The following is a 20,042-nucleotide window of genomic DNA, read 5'->3' as shown; positions in this document are numbered from 1 at the left end:
GATATTGTTAAAATACAACAGCCTTTATGTAAAACCTCCAGAAAAGGTCCCAAGCCATTTTCACTCCCTTCTCTGATCAGACAGTCAATCTGAGTCACCACCTATTTGTCCCCTGAGTCAGTCTGTCTTTCTCTTTTCCTTTTATAAGAAGTAAATTCCCACTGGACAATCCATCAGAGCACACACGGATATTTTAAACCTATGCCAAAACCAAGACAATGACTATTGAGAAACAATTGAAAACATTTTATTTCACCAAAACCCCTTGTCAGCCTAAAGGAATGCCGCAGTATGGGGACCACTCCGCCAAGAGACAGGGTCTTGTCGATACCACCTGCATGTTTCATGCCCTTAAGAAAATTAGTCTGTCTAGATCTCATTTCCTTTCTTTCCAATGAAAAATTGTTTGTCATTTCTTACCTCTCTGAAAGCTTAATCGTTTCCCAGACTCACAAGGATTTGTCAGAATAAATGAGAATAAATGAAGAAAATAAATGAAAAGGGTTATAATTGTACATAGAAACACAGTAGGCACTCAATTAGTTGACCTGAATTTAATCAACATTTTAAAATAATTCTTAAAAAGCACTTGAGTCTTCTAAAGAAATGAGTTATAGGCATCAAAATAATAATTTTCAAGAAAAATATAGTGATAGTGTCAATAGAGCATATCAGTTAAAAGGGATTTAAATAAAACCTGAGAGTAGAGATTACGATGTGACACGTATCACAAACACAGCTACACGAAAGCTGTCATGTTAGAATGATAACAGTGGAAAGGGCCATGGAGGGCATCCAGTTCCACCCCTGACATGGAACCGGGAATGTCTTGCACAAAATCTCAGACAGAGACTCACCAGTTTGTGCCTCGACACAAGGAAAAGGGCTGGTAAGAGCACGTGGAGCTCTTCATTCTTCAAGACCCTATTTGTTAAAATATTCACATGCAAAACAGCCAGGAAAGGGGAAAACTTACACCATTTAGTCATTCGTGGATTTTCAGTGAAGCAGTGACTGTCTACTAAAGAACACTAGAAATTAAGGACTCTGGCCCCTAGTCCTAGCTTTGTGTTTTTTTCACAAGTGAATGTGCACCAATAATGCTGCAGATCTGGGGAAATCCATTTTCCCCACACATCTGCCAAGCCATTTACCTGGGCGACTTTTTTTTTTTTTTCTAACCTATATTCTCTTTACTTGATGTGGATCCATGATACTTTCTATTACCTGCTCCAAAGAACAGGTGTCCTCCCTCTCCTAGTCTTTCCTGCAGGGATAAAATAAAAGCAGGGCTATGCTAAAAAGTGTCCACATAGAAGACTATAATAAAAGAGCAAATCAGGACTGGGTGTTCCAAGTATCTGTAATTGGATTTATTTTAAAGAAAGAGAAATGAATGTACTTTAGTCTCCTTGAGAGACCAGCCACTTCAAGGCAGACTTTAATCATCAACATAAGCTTTATTAAAATACTGGTTCATCCTGAAGTTCGACTCAATGGCCATTTTCTCCTTTCTCTTAATTCTGCACACTCGTGTCCACTGTGCGATGCAAGACCCTTCAGAACAGCCCACCCCTCTTACTGTCTAATGTTTCCAGTGGCACAGGGACAGATTCATTTGGAAATCCCTGGGCCCAGTGTCCCAGGAAGAAACCCACAGTTGAGCCTGGAGTGACTGTCCTCTGATTCTCACACTTACCGTCTCCTGGGGCTCCTCATCTTCAACACGGTGACCAGCGTGAAGAAACAGAGCCTGCCCCCTACAGACTATCATTTAGAGGGAGTTTATTTCTAGTGTCCTTCAGACCCGCCCAGTACACCTTCTTCTTTCTCACCGCACCTGCACCCTTGCACCTCCAAGCCTCTGGGTCCCATTACCTCGTCCCCAGCGCTAACACACAGCCTTCTTTTTTATCTCAGTTTTACCAAACCAAGCATAAAAGAAACTCCCTATCCTCAAGAAAAAAATCAGAATATAATCATTGTTATTAATGCTGCTTCTCTTTTCATAAAGTAGCATTGGGCTATTTTATTGCTTTTTCCCAAATTCCAAAATTTGCTTTTCGTTGTCCTTTCCCAAATCCCAAAATTTGTTCATTGTCCACAGTGGATGGCAGCCTCATGGTTATTAAATCTCTCTCCTGAGTGCCCTAAAGCAGCATTCTGATGATTGCTCTGTATTTTTTGTCAAACTGTATTTTTCTTTATCTTCATCATATAGCTGATTAAGAATTTCAATCATTTCTGCTTCCATCAAATCCTAGAAGAAGGGCCAGGCCCAGTGGCACATACCTGTAGTCCCAGCTAACCAACAGACTGAGGCTGTAGGATCTCTTGAGCCCACTATTTCAAGGACAGCCTGGACAAAATAGCAAGACCCCATCTTTAAAAAATAAAATAAAAATCAAAAAATTGTACAAATTCTAGAAGTAGGGTCCAATAAACATTTCATGCATAATTCTTCAAAGTAATTTTTCTCTATGGTACCCATTTTATTACTCCAATTTTAAATTCATTGGAGATAAAATCCATACCAAGTTATCAATGATCATAAAGAATGGGAATTCATTAGTCTTCTCTAGCTCACCTGAGCTGGAATCATTCTAATGTACTCTGTGCTGACTCACATTTGTGTTCCTTCCTTTGATTTGGAAAGAACCCATATCAAATATTTTATCTAAAAATCAGATGCTCGCATTTCTCAGCCCATTTTTATCATTCTAAGTTCATGTGTTTAAACTTGAAAATAACTGTGCTGAAGCACTAAAAGAAAAACAAAGACTTTTCCAGCATGTAAAATTCCTGTTTTATGAATTGAAATGGGAATCTAATAATGGTCCTGGGGAACACGTAGAAGGAATCCAGGACTGGACAGCAGGTTGGGCTAATGATCCAACCCCTAGGATCACCTCCAAAGTTAAAGCTTAATGAATCTAAGTAAAGTTGACCATGTGCTTTAATAAACCAGGCAACACAAGCTGATGACTTAAAATACACATGAGTTAAACGTGCAAACTGATTACCTCAAATGTGCATATAGAAGATTTTGGAATATATAACTTCAATAAAATTGATAACAAATATATCACTGATAACTTGCCAACTGCCTTACCAAAAGCAATTTATTAGTCCTGAAATTTATTTTCCACAGCTTACTAGCTGAAAGACAGTGGAACATGTTGTAACAGTTTTTTCATATTTGAGTATAAAATGACTTTTATATTGCAATAGGAAAAAAACTCAGTCTCGAGAATAATTTGAAAATGTCACATGATATGGTAGACAGGTCTACAGTTTCTTAAGGTAAAAAAAAATGCGAACTACAGAATACAGTTCTGTAACACAGGAGTTAAATATGCTTATCAACAGCAGGGCATTGGAAGCTAAGGATCTGGCAGTTTGAGTTAGTGCTGTTTATAAACCAGATCTCTTTTGATCCTTTAATTTGATATTTAGAAATTCATATATTCATCTTTGCCATAATAAGATTAAAATTGCATGTTGCAACATTATTGAGGGGAAAAATGAGTGTTTACTATATAGATATTTATATATTATAGATATTTAATGAATGACATTCTAATTGAAGTAAAAATAAATGTACAAGCCTCCCTTTGGCATGTTTGACATACCCAGATTTTAAAACTGAAATAATGTTTGCAAAAACAATGCATATAGTTCTTTGCCATGTTATTTTTACTGGGTTGTTCATTTATTTCACCTTAGTCTTAATTTCAACATTTTTTTTTCTTTCAGGGCGTGATTCTCAGTCACCAGACTCAGGTACAGAAAAAATATTCTGAATAATTATTATATTATTTGTGACTTTTAGAAAACATATTCATAGCCACATCGCTGACTTCATGTTAAATTTAAATTTCATGTACTGTTATGCATATTAAATTAAACCTCTAGTAAGAACACTACAATTTTGGAAATAAAAATGATTTTGGAAATAAAAATAAATTTTATAAAAAATGTTTAAGTGAACGTAGATATTTTTGTATCCAATTGTTTTCCCTTAATGAAAGCTTGGAGATCTTACAATGATGGCAATCAGGAGACACTGAACGGAGATGCTACATATTCCTCTCTTGCAGCAAAAGGTTTTAGAAGCGTTCGACCAAACCTACAAGATAAAAGATCACCAACTCAGGTAACCCTGCACACTCTTGGCTACTGCATTATTTTAAGGCATGATTATTAGACCACTGCTTACAGCCTCTTTCCTAATGTGCGTATTTCAATACGTTTTATTTTTAATATGTTTTTGCTTTTGTATTTAGTTTGCTTGCCAGGTTTGTATTTACAACATGGAGAACAAATTTTAACAAACAAGGGTTTGGTTTGGTTTTGTTTCTGATTAAGCTTATCAAAGTATGTCGGTTTTTAACATAATCTCTAGGATATATTCTAATTCTTTAAAAGCTGACAGCTGATGCTTTGGATTTAAACTGATGAGGTCAGCAATACATTATGTATTCAATAACTATGAGTATGCAACTATTATATTAACTAAAAGGGCTCTGTGTTGGAGATATTAGTAAAATTGTGCCACAAGCATGAAAATTGTTATAAAACAATGCTATTAAATAAACTATATATATATATGTCAAAGTCTAATAAAATATGCCAAGAGAACATATGTTCACTTTTAACATAATTTCCCTGAATGTAGATGGAGCAAATGTTATAATGTATTCTCTGGCAACACTTTTTTCCCCAAGGGCAAACATTGATAATAAACATAAGTGCATTCTAAATGGAATGAAAATGATCACTCAATCTAGCTAACAAAATGGATAGCATAATCAGAAGGTGTGGCATTGCTTTACTTCTGTAAAGGCAAGGTTGACACTGGTTTCTTTCATGACTAACTTGGACTTTCTCTGTTTTTCTTTCAACTTTATTTCTTTCTCTGGATCCCATTGTCAATCCAGGCACCCCCTCCACCAGAAAGAAAAGAGAGCTTTCATAGCTCTTTGATAACCAGTCACACAAAGGGTGTCATTTTAGACCAGTTAGTAACTAACACACAAATTCCCTCCAGTACAGAGTACTTTGCTAACAAAAAACCTCTTCAGGGAACTATGTATTCCAATGAAGATTCGAGACAGACAATTGTATATTCTGAAGAATCTAACACAACCATGTCATATACACAAAAAATCACTAATCCACTACCAGCAGCTTCCAGCACGGATCCTGCACCATTCGCTAACATCAACACCCCAGTTCTACAAGAGGACTACAGGCAAGATTCTCAAACTCGGAGGATTTCTACCTTGAAACTAACCCATAACCAGGATCTAGGAAGTAGCAGCCCCATTAGTACTCCACAGTTCTCCAAATCTGTCGAAGTACCGTCATTTCTCAAAAGGCCCCGCTCACTGACCCCTAATCCAGTGCCTGAGACACACACAGCATCTCTTTCCATTCAGATAGCTCCCCTTTCAGGACAGGATCTTGAAAGCCACAAACAGCTACCTGAGCTTTCTCCAGAGACTGCAAAGATACCTCTTCAGCAAGAGAGACAAAAATCTGCAGTTGCAGCGGCCTCTCAGTCCTCAGACTGCAGAGTGGTACCTTAAGCTTCTCAGTCTCTTCGTATTAATACATGCGTATCGTAGAGACCCTAACTCCTTTGGTTTGGGCTTCTTATATGACCTAATGCTTTCTTAGTTTCCAAGCAGGAAGGGAAAGGAGAAAGAAACCATTTTCCAATTTAAAACCCTACTAAATTCATCAGCAAATGTCTAGGTATTTTTAAATGTAAATATGCATATACAGATCTTTCATCCAGAAATCATGTTCTAAATTTTTTTTTTTCTTCTAGATGTTTATGGGAAATCATTGAGGGGTCAGTTATCATTTAAGACATTGCAGACTACTTCAGGACTTAAAGCATGTTTAGGTTTCAAAGAAATATTTTTCATATTAGATCTTTTTGCACTTAGATTTACTTTATTTACATGTGTAAAACCTCTTCAGATAATTGTCAATTATAATTTGCTTTGGCAGGGAATAGTTATCTTAATTTTAAGCAATGTCTATTTCTTTGCAACTCAATATTCATTTTCACTAAAACTTAATTTATCATTTCAGAAAGTGTATTAGCCAACTTTTATTATCCAGACTTTCAGGAAGTAAAACTTTCCATGTGTGTAGAATTCTCTCATAGCATCCTTCTGTTTACATGTATTAGTCTGTTAACAGGAGAAATGTGCTTCTCTTTTTGACTTCTCCATAGAACAATGTAGTGCTAAAAGCACAAACTTTAAGGATAAGCTGTAGATTTTAATCCAGGCATCATTTACTATGTGATGAGACATTCATCTAAACTTTTCTGTGAGTCCGAACAAAGAAATGAGAATACTAATTAACCCTTAATTTATAGGTTATGGTAAGACTAGGGAATTACCATAGACTAGGCTAGAGCAAGCACTCAATGACAGCTGTTAATAAAAGATATAATAGTAGCAGCAACAGCGCTAGTGTTAATATTGAAAACAGTGGTGCCTAAGTAAATAATTTGTATAATACTCCTTTTTGTATCTGTGTTAATAAAGATCATCCAAAACATATCCTCGAGGAGATATACTTTTAAACTGTACAGAAAATCTCCAAAAGATAACTAATTGACACCAAGATCCCCCCACCCACTCATAAAGCAGACGAGCCTTAAACAGAAATGATTAAAGGACAAGCTGGTATTATCATACCTCTACTAAAATATCTTCTCCATCAGCCAATCAAGATGTGCAAAATTCGTTCAGTAGAGCAATTTCTTCTAATTAAGGTAATATCTTCTGAAAGCACCTATGAAATCAGATGATAATAATAATAATAACATTAATAGGAGCTAACAAATATTAAGGCCTTACTCTATGCAGGCACTGTTGCAGCTTGTTTATGTTTATTAATAATTGCCACAATCTCATGGAGTAGGTATTACTACTGTCCTTATTTTATGGCTAAGGAAACTGAGGCACAGAAGTAAGTTGCTCCCCCAGGGTCATGCAGCTGGCAAAAGGCAGAAACAGAATACACACCCTGGCAGGCTGGCTGCAGGGCCACCACTCTGAAAGAGTGCTACTTCTCGTTGTGAAGTCGTTACTCAGCAGTGACGAGACACGGTGCCATGATGGTGGGAGCTGAGGCAGATGCATCTTGATCGGGTTCAGGAGTCCAGGAAGGTCGGAGGGAGCAAAATCCGTCTGTGACTGTACAGACAGGCCCGTGCCAGTGTCAGTGAGCAGACTCGCCAGTGTCCCAGGATGGGCACGCCAGGAAGCAGGTGTAGGAGAAGTCATAGGAACACATATCAGTCATTGGACTCATCCAACCTGGTTTGCTTCTTCAGAATGGTTTTGTGATGTTTGAAAACAAGCTGATACCTTTCGTTTTGCATGGTTTTATCCAGGCTGCGCAGAGACGGTTAGTTTGATTATATTATCCCCAGGGTATCGGCACCATCTAAAAGTTAAGATTTGAGATCCTGTCACTGCTATTTATTCAAGAAATATTTATTGGGTGCCTAACCTATGTCAAGTCTGTTCTAGTAACAGAGTTGGATTTGAAACCATTCCTGCTTAAAATTTGTCTGTGTGTGGCAGGAGGAGCAAGCATTAATAAGAACTGGAGTAAATTACATATATTAGAAGATTATGGAAATTGAGTTATGCCATGCAAAGTAGAGATGTGGAGACCAGATATCATGTCAAGTATGGTAACTCAATATCAATAGACCTCACTGAAAAGAGAACAGCTTTGAAGGAGGAAGAATATTCTAGGCAGAGGGAATGTCTTATGTAAAGGCTTTGAGGTTGATCATGCTGGGGCTGTGGGAGGACCAGAAGGAAGCCTGAGGGAGGGAGAGGAAGTAAGTGAGGTGAGAGTGATAGGAAGTGAAGTCAGAGGTAACAAAGACCAGATGACAGGAGGCCTTATAAGCCATTGCAAGGATTTTGACATTTACTCTCAATAAAAATGGAGGTCACTGGAGGATGTTGAGGCTACCACCATTATTATTTCCCTTATATTTTAACAAAATCATTCTGGCAGCTCAGTGAAAAACGTACCATAGTGGGGCAAGGAGGAGATCAGGCAAACCAGTTAGGTAACTACTGCAGTCCTTTAGGTAAGAAATGATGGGGCTCAAAGCAGGGGGCAGCAGAGGAGGTGGTGAGAAATCAGACTGTGAGAATGTATTTTGAAAGTCAAGCAAACAGGACTTCCTGGCAGATTGCATGTGGGATGTGAGGAAGAGAAAAGTCAAGGTTGACTCCAACTGGAAGATAGCATCGCCATCAGCTGAGACTGGACAGCTGTGGGTGGAACAGGTTGGTGGAAACTTCAGAGGTTCCATTTGGGAAACAGGAAGTTTGAGGCATTTCTTAGACACCCACATTAAGTGGTCAAGTGAGCATTTGGATGTAAGAGCCTGTACTTCAGGGGAAAGGTCCTGGTTGGAGGTATCAGCCATTGGCTAGTCGATGGGTTTTGTGGCCATGAGACAGAGTGAGATCAGCAGGGGAAGGACAGAGAAAAGGGGAGGACCAAGAGTTGAGCCTGAGTGAATCTCAACATTAAGAGGAAGAAGCAGTGGAGGAGACTGAAAGCAGTGTCCTCTAAGGGAGGAGGAAATCTGGGAAAATGTGGCATCCTAAAAGCCATGTGAGGAAAATGTGTGGAAAGAAAGGGATGGTTCACCGCACAAATGCTGTTGATGAGACAGGTTTGAAATGAAATCTGAAAACTTACCATTGATTCCATAGTGGGGAAGGAGGCTTTCTTGGAGTGGGTATGAGAGAGACTGGGAAGAAAGTGGTTGGGCAGTCAGCTGTTTCAAGATCTTATTAACATAAAACCATTCATCTAGTTATTCACCCTCCCCGAGCAGCAGTTTTCTCATCTATAAAACAGGGACAATGATAGCAACCATTCATAGAACTGCTGGGAGGTTTGAGTAAGGCATATAAGGATCTTGGCATGGTGCCTGCTTCATGGTAATTCTTCAACATACAGTAGCTGTCATCATCATTAAATAATATTTTTCCAAATTATGCATCTGATTGGGAAAAAGAAATATATTATTTTCAACAATACTTCATTTTTTTTACTGGTAGGTAAAAGTTTATTTCAACAGACTTTCAGTTTGTTCCAAGATAGCGTGTCCTCTTTTCTAAGGCTTTTTAAAAAAGGTAGCATGAAGCTGTTGCAGTTTTTATTCTCTGTTTAAAATTTTGGTAAGAACATTTAACATGAGATCTGCCTTCTTAACAAATTTGTAAGTGTGCAATGCAGTATTGTTAACTGTAGGCACCATGCAGTGCAGCAGATCTCTAGGATTTATTCATCTTGCATAACTAAAACTTTATGCCCACCGAATAGCAACTCATATCCCCCTTCCCCAAGCGCCTGGCAACCACCAGTCTACTCTCTGCTCAGATATTTGTCCTTCTGAGACAGGCCTTCACTTGGTATAAGGTCCTCCAGATTGCTCCATGTTACAGCATGTGGCAGGACATCCATCTTTTTTAAGGCTGAATAGTATCCTAGTATGCGTATACACCACGTTGTCTTTATCTATTTGTCCATCAATGGACATTTGGTTTGTTTCTACATCTTGATGATTGTGATATGCTTCATTTTTAAGTCTCATTTTCCATGTAATGACCTTTCACAATGGTGACCTTTCCATTTTAAACACTTGCACTCCGCATTCTGGCAAGTCTCAGCCAATGCCAAGCACTGTAAGCTATACCCTGTGAGTCAGCCAAATATGTGCTCCATTATAAAGAATTAGGCTCCCAGGAATTAGCAGGTCCAAGCGATAAAAGTACACCAAGATGTGAAAAGTACATTTCAGTGTTTCAGAAGTTTTATTTACATAGTTTTGTTATTATTAATGTCTGCTCATTAATTTAAGAAGAAAACTACAGGTCACTGTTAGAAATTCTCTTCATATTTGACAATTTTTCATAGTGTTTTCTAAACGGCATGTGCTTTAATTGACCTCCTACAAACAGACCAGAAATGAGGCATGTTATCCTTATGGCACTGTGTGATCAGATATCCTGTTGCTAAAAATGTCACATTGTTCTCAATGTCAAGTAAGTGAAGGTATAAGCCAGACACTTTGGAAAGCCAGCAAAAAGCTACACCCCCAAACAGTTTCTATGGCATCTGTGCTATGTTCCTTGCTTCAGGAAGATAAGCTTGTCCTGTCCGTTATGAAATAACATAATCAATCATTTGCCAAAGCCTCACCTTCACAGCTGCCACTGCACATATGCTGGGGACTCACAGGGGAACTTGCCCGACTGTCATGTAGAAGGGAGAGGAAACTCATTTCTTTTGCTCCATGGGATCAGTATGTAGATACTAAGGAGGACAGAGTAATGCAGACATGTCAGCAGTGTGGGATAATAGGTGCAGAACTGCAGAACGCACTTTCTGGAACATTGCTATCAAGACCGGCCCCAATCATTGATGTCTTCCATTAGTATGGCTTCCTTTCTGTGGGCTCGTAATGCTATTAGTTGATCAGGTCTTTGGCAATTTCTCCATTTGATGTCTGTGCATGCGCATGCATATGCATGTATTTAAATAATTGAACATTAGAGAATACTTGGGAGTCCAACATGAGTTTACAAATAAAACGTCCTCTTCAACATCTCCCAATAGATGGGCATCCAGCCTTTTCTGAATACACTTAATGAAGAGCTCAGTTACATTCCAAGGCAGCAGTCCAGTGCTTGGCCATTTCTGAGATCGAATTATTGGAAAGAATTTCTAATACCACGTCATGATCTGCCTTCCTTAACTTCTGCATGGTTATCCACAGAGCAAAAGAGACAGAATGTTCTTCCGCCTCTATCTGACAGTGTTCACGTGATCCTTCTCTTCCCTACCCTGCTACTGGCTTTGTGCAGAGCATTCCTGTTCCTTCCCAGCATTTTAATTTTGTAAAACATGATTCTCCTTTTTTTGAGAGCTATTACAGCACACCAGGCACTGTGCTAAGCACTTTACATTGCCCTACTTAATTTTTACAGGCTTTAAGAGATGGGTTTTATCCATGCCTATATTTTACACATGAAGGAACTGAGGCCAAGGAAATTAAACAAGTTGCCCAAGTCTGTCTGACTCAAGATCCACAGCTCAGCCACTAGCCTCTGCTACCTCTATGCTCTCACACAAGCTGATTTTTAAATCCCATATTTTGATAATGTTCTTAAAATATGACACTTTCCCAGATGCAAAACCATATTCCCGATCTGAATACCACAGAGTACAGTAGAAATATTTACTCCCCTGATTCAGATGCCACATGCTGTCAGTGTGCCCAATCTGTGTGACAATTTTAGATCACTTGTCACCCAGCTCTTGGGTGGGGAGTATATGGTTAAAATAATTTTTATTATGAGGCTGTCAGACAATCTCACATCATTACAATGCAGGCAATACAGCCAGGCCTTAGGGAAACGGGGCAATGGCCAGGCAGCTACCCTCCATCCTTCTCAGTCGTAGGAACTGCATAGTTCCCTGTCTGTCTCTTAGTTTCTGCTCTGTCGTTACTTCAAGTTGCCCATGGGTTTCCATGATACTCTCTGACTCCTTGCATTTGGGTACCCGACAGCTACCTGAGGGGCATTCAGTGTCACGTAATTCAAATTCCCAGGAGGGAGGCAGGGCCCCACTGGCCCAGCATAGTCCAGTTACTCCCCCTTCCTAATCAGCTGTGGCCAGCAAAATGATGATCCGGCAACAGACACAGCTGCCAGGCAGGTCTCCTCATACCACCAGGACAGGCCATGAAAAGAGGGGGCACATTTTCCCTAAAGGATGTGTGGATGGGAGGTAAAGATTGGTTTTTTTAAAACCCCTTCCAGCCGGGCACAGTGGCTCATGCCTGTAATCCCAGCACTTTTGGAGGTCGAGAGCAAGACTCCAAAAAAAAAAAAACCCCTTCCTAGATATTTTCTTTTCAAGTAAATTACTATCATTGGAAAAAAGAGAACAAAAGCCTGTCAGATTTCTTTGCTTGACATTTAATATATATTCCTTATGTTCCTTGAGAAATGAGGCCTAGAAGCTCAATGACTAAAGGTGTTAAGAGAGAGATGTTAGGATCCTTGACCTCAGGGCCATGTCAAGCCAACTGGAACCTGAGGTGGAAGGAAATTCTGTGCTTCCTTATACCTGTTTTCATATATTGGGAATGAGCTTTTTCCTAGAATGTTTAAGTCATTAGAATTTTTTTGAAAAGTTGAAACGCACGTTATTAACACTCACACATTATTTTAAGCTTAAATATTTTATTTAAAGCAAAATAAACCTTTTTTTTTTAAATTTGAGACAGAGTCTTGCTCTGTCACCCAGGCTGGAGTGCAGTGGTGTGATCTCGGCCCACTGCAACCTCCACCTCCCAGGTTCAAGCAATTCTCCTGCCTCAGCCTCCAGAGTAGCTGGGATTACAGGCACCTGCCATCACGCCTGGCTAATTTTTGTATTTTTAGTAGAGACGGGGTTTCACCATGTTGTCCAGGCTGGTCTAGAACTCCTGACCTCAGGTGATCTGCCCGCCTCAGCCTCCCAAAGTGCTGGGATTACAGGTGTGAGCCACTGCGCTTGCCCTATTACATGTTTACTTCACCTTAAATTAATTACAAATTATTTAAGATGGCCATCAGTTAATTGGAAATTGTCAAACATGTCTATTCTCTCAACTAAAACTGAAATAAGCAAAAATGTAGATTTTGAAAATATTATTGATGAGTTTTCTTGCATTAAAAACGCCAGACCCAGACTCTCTTTTCCTATGGCTTGGCATGCGCTGGTCTTCATTTATATTTTCGACATTTTTGTTCAGTATGGGGTATTTTTGCTTTTTTGCATTGATGTTGATTTTCTTTCAAAGATTGCATTGAAACAGAATTTATCTCAATTACTGAGTTTTTTGTCACTCTTTAAGTTTTGCACCCCAACGAGCACTTTCCCCTCCTCTCCTGAGGCCTGGCCATGCACTCCTTCTTCACATCCCCGCTCCACAGCTACCCTCTTCCACCTCCAGCTTCCACATCTGCTGTGTCAGCAAGTGACAGCTTAGGGGCTTATGACTATAGATGTGTTGTCACTGAGCTTATGAGCGAACTAAAGGTCATATTACCCATGACTATGGTGGTCTTAGAGACAGTAAGCTTTAATTTTCATCGTGTTTCAAGGCAAAGGATATGGGTCAATGACGCCCGCCTTGAGGGGGAACATGACTTCCGCATTCTGCCATCGGTCCCATCATTCCCTGTCATCCAACACGGGCTTGATTTGCACATCCTGGATACTTTCCTGACCCATGATGGGCACTTGAGTTTGCAATGCCTTCATCCAACTCAATACACTTTTTCCACTGCTGAAGCTCACCCTCCCTTGAATCTCTGTGCCCCTTCATTCCTCAGGAGCTCCAGTGTTGATTGGTGAGCACTCTCATCCACAGGCTCTCTTTAGCATTCTGGGTTGGAGTCATTTGGACGAAGAAGCTCAGTGCTAGTTTGAGTAAGCAGGTGCTCTCTCTTGGTATATGAAGCATATTAAGGTTTAAGCACCGTCCCTGTCCTTTGCAGAAGACCAGGCAGCCCCTGGCTGCTAGCTGGTGTTTCTCATTACCCTCTTCCTGCTAGCTCAAGGGTTGGGGAAAGAAAAAACAATTTATACTCACAAAAAGTTGGTGACCCTTGATCCCTATTCAAACACCTTAGCCTTCCATGGTCTTGAAAAGAAGGAGACCTAAAACAATTAGGATGATTACCTGCAGTCATCTACTTGCCACTCATGAAGTAAGAAAAAAATACACTTGTTTAAAGCCAGTTTTCCCTATTTTTGAGGTAGTCCAGATTGGGAAAATACTGCCTTCTTCCCCTTTCATACCTTTCCTGCTGCTCTTCTGATTTTCCTCAGGAGAAACACGTGTAACATGGTCTTTCTTTCCCCTTGGGTCTACAGGGTATATTCCATTCATGTGAAGATTGGGGTCTTGTCAAAGCTTTTTTGTGGGTGACCAGTATAACTGTTGAATTATTGAGTTTTATCTGTAGAAATTTAAGTGTGATGTGACTCACCACGAGGCATTTCATGCCTTACACTCACAAACACACACACGCACATACACACCCATACACACACGTGCATTAAAAGACTCAAAACCAGGAGCATGTCAGGAGGTGGTGAAAGAAATTCGAAAGGTGGAATAATTTTGTTTTCTGTGGACATTCTATTTGGAAGAACAATTGAATGGGTAAGGACCATCCCCAGACACAGTGCTATGCAAACTAATGATCATATTACCCGTGACAATGGTGATTTTAGAATACGCTTTAGCTTTTGACATGTTTCAAGTCATAGGATATGGACAAGTCAGTCCAATGGGGGTTAAAGTCATTAGATTTTTTTCTTTTAATTTGAAAGGGAAAAGTCTCATGAGCAGATAACTCAAATCCTTTTGTATGATTTGTATTATTTCATAGTTTTCATTTAGCATAAATAAAACTAAAAAGAGATTCGTATTACATGGAAACATCCTTAGTAAAGCTGAATTATTAGGGGAAATTTCATTGACGCTATCCAAAGACTGCTTTATACTGAATTACATTCAGACTTATAGCAACATTTTAATACATTAAGTTAGAATTATGATAATTTCATAATATTAAAGTTTCACCTCCAATAAGATTGCAATTATTGTAAACACTCAGTAATAATAAGGATGCATCCCCACCAAAACATTTTAAGTTCTGGGTAACTAAGATTTCTGTCAGTTATTTCTAGAGATTTAAACAACCATGAACAGTAAAATATATATTATATATATACGTATATATATATATATATATCACATTTAAAATGACTATGTTTAAACAAGAAAAAAAATCATATTAAGTAAGATTAGGACAAGAAAATCTGTCTTTTTATCCAAGGTTGGGGTTTCTTAACCCATTAGATTAAGGTTATGCTTTAGAGTGTCTCTGTCCCCCTGAAGTTTATGCAGAACTTTCTGTATGTATGAATTTGTGCATTTCCCCAAAAGAAGGATCAGTCACATTTATCAGATTTCTAAGGGATCTATGATTCAGAGAGACCTTTTTATATGATGGATTTTTTAAAAGTATTCAAGTAAAAGTCTGAGAAAAAAATTATTGCAACCTTTTTATTATGCTAACAACGTGCATGACATCAGTCATTATGAAAATTATGGCTGCCAAAGAACACCAAATTGTTTAACTTAAACATTTACTAGGCAGTATTTCTAAGTGTAAACAGTTCTCCTTCATTCATTCCCATCTTTGTACTAATATCTCACAATACCTCTGGCCATCTATCTTAAAACCATTTCCTCTCCCAAACATCCCCTCCAAAAAGTGTCTGTTCTGAAAGGTAGAAAAAATAAGTAAGAAAAGTTGCTTCGGAGTTTTATTCACTTACGTTGAATTGAGTACTTATCATCCTATTTGTCACGTGTGGTCAAACGTCATCCAGGCTACCACAGGTGGTTGTAAAATTTCAAATGGTCATCTTCTCTCTTCCTCCTACAGAGCATCCCTTCGCTATGTTTAGCCTCTTGGGCTATATATAGCCTTGGAGCTGTTAAATCTTTTATTTTTCCTTCAGTTTCTTTCTCCTTTACCTAAGATTTAGTGCCAACCATAGTTCTAACTAACTAGGGTACATTCTAACTATTATCAGTGGCTGGTTTTCATTTTCACACATGGTACCTCTATTTGCATTGCTAGGATATTTTAAAGTCCAATTCTTTTCGTATTTTGTAGTGAAATCAAAGAACAGATTTAATTAGTGGAAAGGAAATAAAACATCTTTTCCATTTATCTTTTCTGCTTAGTTGTGTTTAGTATTATCAGTGTTTAGATTCATAAACCAGGAAAAAATAAGACAAACAGATTTATGTTTTGGGGACATTTTGGCAAGGGGGAGGCAATTATGCTATTAGATTTTTCTAGTGAAGGACAAACCAATTCTGCTGACCGATAGTCTGATATCTTATCATTGTCACAAATACAAAAACTAAAACTCCTGAGGAAACAGTTTCGTTATGCCAACACTCTCAAGCCCCTAACCAGAATTACATTGCAGTGCTGTGTGAAAACCGGCCTTGTTTCAAAACACACCGACTGGATTCACTTTCTTCCTGTTTTCACACTTTTTCTGCACTGTGTGGTTGGCACCTAACCCATCTGAATGTAACTCCTTAAAGTGCTTGCAAATAAAACCGATGCTTTGCCTTCTCTGCCACATCGCAAAAAGAGGTACTTTTGTTAATTGGATAATTTATCTCTTATTATTTTTTCCTCATACTCAGCTTGGAAATCAGAACTTACCTGCCAGTGTGTTGGAGGTAAATGCTTCACAGACACACAGACAAACCACACCAGAAGCTTCTCCTCCGTGCCCTCCTTCCGTGGTACCTTTGAACCGAGCCACTTTCTCACCAGGCAGTGGCACCAGCTCAGCATCACTCAGCCTTCCGCCCCCCGATGGTGTGGGGTCTTCACGCCTGCATAATCCCCAGAGCCTTTCCCATTGCTTATACAAACACCTGCTCCCAGCTCCAGAAAGCCTCATCCACAGCCACGACACAGGCTCTCTGACAACAGACTCCTCCCTGGCCGAGCACTCCTCCCGCTCGGAGAGTGAGTCCTCCACAGCCATGCTGGAGGAGCTGCAGATTGGTGACTCTGACACCACTGGCCGTTCTGAGACACCCTCCCCCACCTGGGGTCAGAGGTCTGCTGTGACAGATGGCACCACCTTAACCACCCCTGCGGCCACTCATGTAATTATTCTGCCTTTCTTTGCCTCCACCGTTTCCTTGAAAGGACTGATTTGTTGTGCCATCTCATTTTTCGGCTGACATTTTTATTTACATAGGTGTTGATTCCCAAACCAATTCTATGCCATCTGTCAGGGAAATCATTAGTCATCCTATAAGCTTGCTTAAGGCTGAAAAAGTCACTTCATTCTCTTCATTCATTTTAGAATTACTTATAGTTACTCTAAAATAGTTACTTACGGTTTCCCGTGTTACTGTAGCTGGTAAGTTCTACAGTGATTTGCCTTATTAGCTAAGTATACATCACAATATGTTGTGATCATAAAGTCTAAAATTTTTCAAAAAATTTTAACCCAGTATTAATACATGTTAGCAGTTTTTCTCACAGACTCACATTAATGTGTCCTGTGTGACTCTTTTCTATATCCTTTTTCTCACATAAATGATTACTGACTGCATGAGGCTAATTTTTCTTGTTCCTCCTTCTCTAACAGCTACAACTTTTGAACTCATCTATTGTCCAGGAGTGAATGATGTCGATAATCCTATCTACCTTTCAGAAATTTAGCTGTACGATTTTTAAAAATTATTCTTCCTGAGCCATTTCAGGACAGAAATTTATGAATACATTTTTTATTTTGTTTATCAATAATTTGTCTTTCATTTATAGCAATATATACATCTTTTCCATACATATATTATTTAAATATATCTATGTGATAAGCAATCCCTAATAAATGATCTGTGAATGGCTAAAATGTTTCAAAATTTTATGGCACAGATTCTATATTGCATATAATGTCTAAGTAATGGCTTCCATTTAAGAGACACATAGCTTCAGGCAAAAAAATCAGATTTTTTTTTTAAATTGATATTATAATGAAGTTCCGAATAAGCACTGTCATAGACAAAATTTTATTTGTGCTACATTGTTTTATGTTCTATCAAGCTGATAAGTCTGCAAATTTTATGCGCAGAGAAATGTTATAATAAGCCATATGTTTTTTAAGACACTACAATTTACATAAAGTAAAAGATGCTTTTTTTGGTAATGGGATTTGGTATTCCCCCAATGGCTGTGTCTAACACTTTGCATTCAAATGCTCCATTCAGAGACTGGCTACAGAAGGAGCCTCATTTTCCAGGCCTAACCCCATAGCGAGTCCCTCCCTGCCACAGAGGACCAGCCCAACTACGGGCACCAGGAGCACAGCAGGTGTGGGTTCCTCCCATGCCCTACTGTGCTTCAATGGTTCTTAGCTTTTAAAACTTTACCAGGACCTTTAACCAAAAAAAGAAGGCAGTGAGAGGGTATCAATCTACCAACTAACCTGTTCAATTTTCTGTTTTTAAGACTTTACAGGAGACTAACTGTCTTATATACAGTCTTGTGGGCACGAGCAGAGCTACTTGTAAGGGAAATTAATTGCAATTATCAGTTTAAAATTGCAAATAGATTATTCATGACATGTTTTTCCTAATAATGAATTCACTATAACAATACAGTATTTTCTAAAATGCTAATGATAGTATTTTAGTCATAAAATCCTGATTGGTTGAACACAATAAAAGAATAAATCTAGGCCGGGCGCGGTGGCTCACGCCTGTAATCCCAGCACTTTGGGAGGCCGAGGTGGGTGGATCACGAGGTCAGGAGATCGAGACCATCCTGGCTAACATGGTGAAACCCCGTCTCTACTAAAAATACAAAAAATTAGCCGGGCGTGGTGGTGGGCGCCTGTAGTCCCAACTACTCGGGAGGCTGAGGCAGGAGAATGACATGAACCCGGGAGGCGGAGCTTGCAGTGAGCCGAGACTGCGCCACTGCACTCCAGCCTGGGCGACAGAGCGAGACTCCATCTCAAAAAAAAAAAAAAAAAAAAAAAAGAATAAATCTACTCTCAGTGTTTACTTTTTTAACCCCTAGTCAATATTATTGAAACCATCAAAATAGGATTCAGAGCAAGTTTGTAGGTTTAGCAATATAGTTAACCTGATGGTTTTTAATAAGAAGGATTCTTCAGCTTTTAACATTAATTATAACATGTTATAATAGTATTACAATGATATTGACAAAGATCCACCAAACTTAACTTGGGCAAGGAGGTGAAAGTGTTCTCAAATCATCCATCAGAGGTACATAAAAGCTCTGAAGATTTGGGCAGGCCTGTGCCTCACAGTTATTTGAACGTCCAGCTCTCTCCAGGGAGCAGGTCCTCAAGATGTGGCTGGTTATGATATGAGTGTAATTTTTCTAACAGCTTAGAGAATTATTTAATCAATAAGCACAAGGCTTGTAATGAAATGTTTATTGATTTGGGGACATAAGTGGTATGGTTATACAGTAATGAAATTAGACTTATTCTAGGTCATTTGAAAACCCATTTGCTTTAAAGTGAAATCATAGAAATACACAGTTACTATATCTATGTTTCAAGCCTGTGGAATAGAAGTTTGTTTTGTTTTAAAATAAGTAGAAAAGTTTCACAAATTATGCTTCTTTATCTGTGTGCCTATGTGTGTTGTGTGTATTTAGCTATAATTTTAACTAAACGTTCTTACTAATGTTTGATCTTATTTGCATGCATTGTGTGCGCCCTGTAATGATCAGTACTGTGCTGTGGGTAGACAGGCATGCTTAATAGTCCTGAGCTCGATATCTGTGAACTAAGCCGATTCAGTTCCATCAGAATAGATACCTATTGAACATCTACTCTGTCATCAGCACTAGGCTGCATGTTATACAAAATATTAAAGAAGCATATATATGACCATCTTCAACAAGAAGCTTGAGATACCATTGGGGATATAAAATAGTCAGATACGGAACAATCGAAACAATGAATAATTAAGAAATCAAACAGAGATTCATGAAGTGCTCAATGAGGCTGAAGTAGGGAGAAGCCAGTGGTTGAACATGTCTCTCTGATCCTTTACCAGGTATTTGATCCTTCTAGAATAGGTTGCTTCATGATATATACATCCAAACAACTAGGTTCCTTATGTTATTCACCAGCTCTGGAAACATTCATTCACTAGAAGATATCCCTGACTAAGTCTGAGAACCAATCCCTTGCCTCATGTCAAAGGACATCCACGTCAATGCTGCATGCGGAACAGCACCACCGTGTTCTGATTGCTGATGTTACGACTGTCAGAGCAAAGTCGTCCTCCACATTTACTTGGTACTGACTCCTAC

At 38.9% G+C, this 20,042-nt stretch overlaps 1 protein-coding gene across 38 annotated transcripts in view; it reads left to right on the top strand.

Annotated features, from left to right (window-relative positions):
- Positions 1–20,042, top strand: part of SORBS2 (sorbin and SH3 domain containing 2) — a 370,850-nt gene that overhangs the window by 273,794 nt on the left and 77,014 nt on the right. For 24 of the 38 annotated variants that reach the window (NM_001394255.1, NM_001394264.1, NM_021069.6 and 21 more), the window contains 2 exons: positions 3,757–3,783; positions 4,032–4,156. In NM_001394255.1, coding sequence (NP_001381184.1) covers positions 3,757–3,783; positions 4,032–4,156 — 152 coding nt within the window. Of the gene's footprint in view, positions 1–3,756; positions 3,784–4,031; positions 4,157–4,940; positions 5,583–16,372; positions 16,847–20,042 lie in introns of all 38 variants that reach the window. The other 14 variants (NM_001394267.1, NM_001394262.1, NM_001394248.1 and 11 more) reach the window with 3 other exon arrangements.

The sequence above is a fragment of the Homo sapiens genome, chromosome 4 (assembly GCF_000001405.40).
Source record: "Homo sapiens chromosome 4, GRCh38.p14 Primary Assembly".
Taxonomy (NCBI): Eukaryota; Metazoa; Chordata; class Mammalia; order Primates; family Hominidae; genus Homo; species Homo sapiens.
Note: the sequence above shows the minus strand (reverse complement) of the source record. Positions and strands in the feature narration are given on the sequence as shown.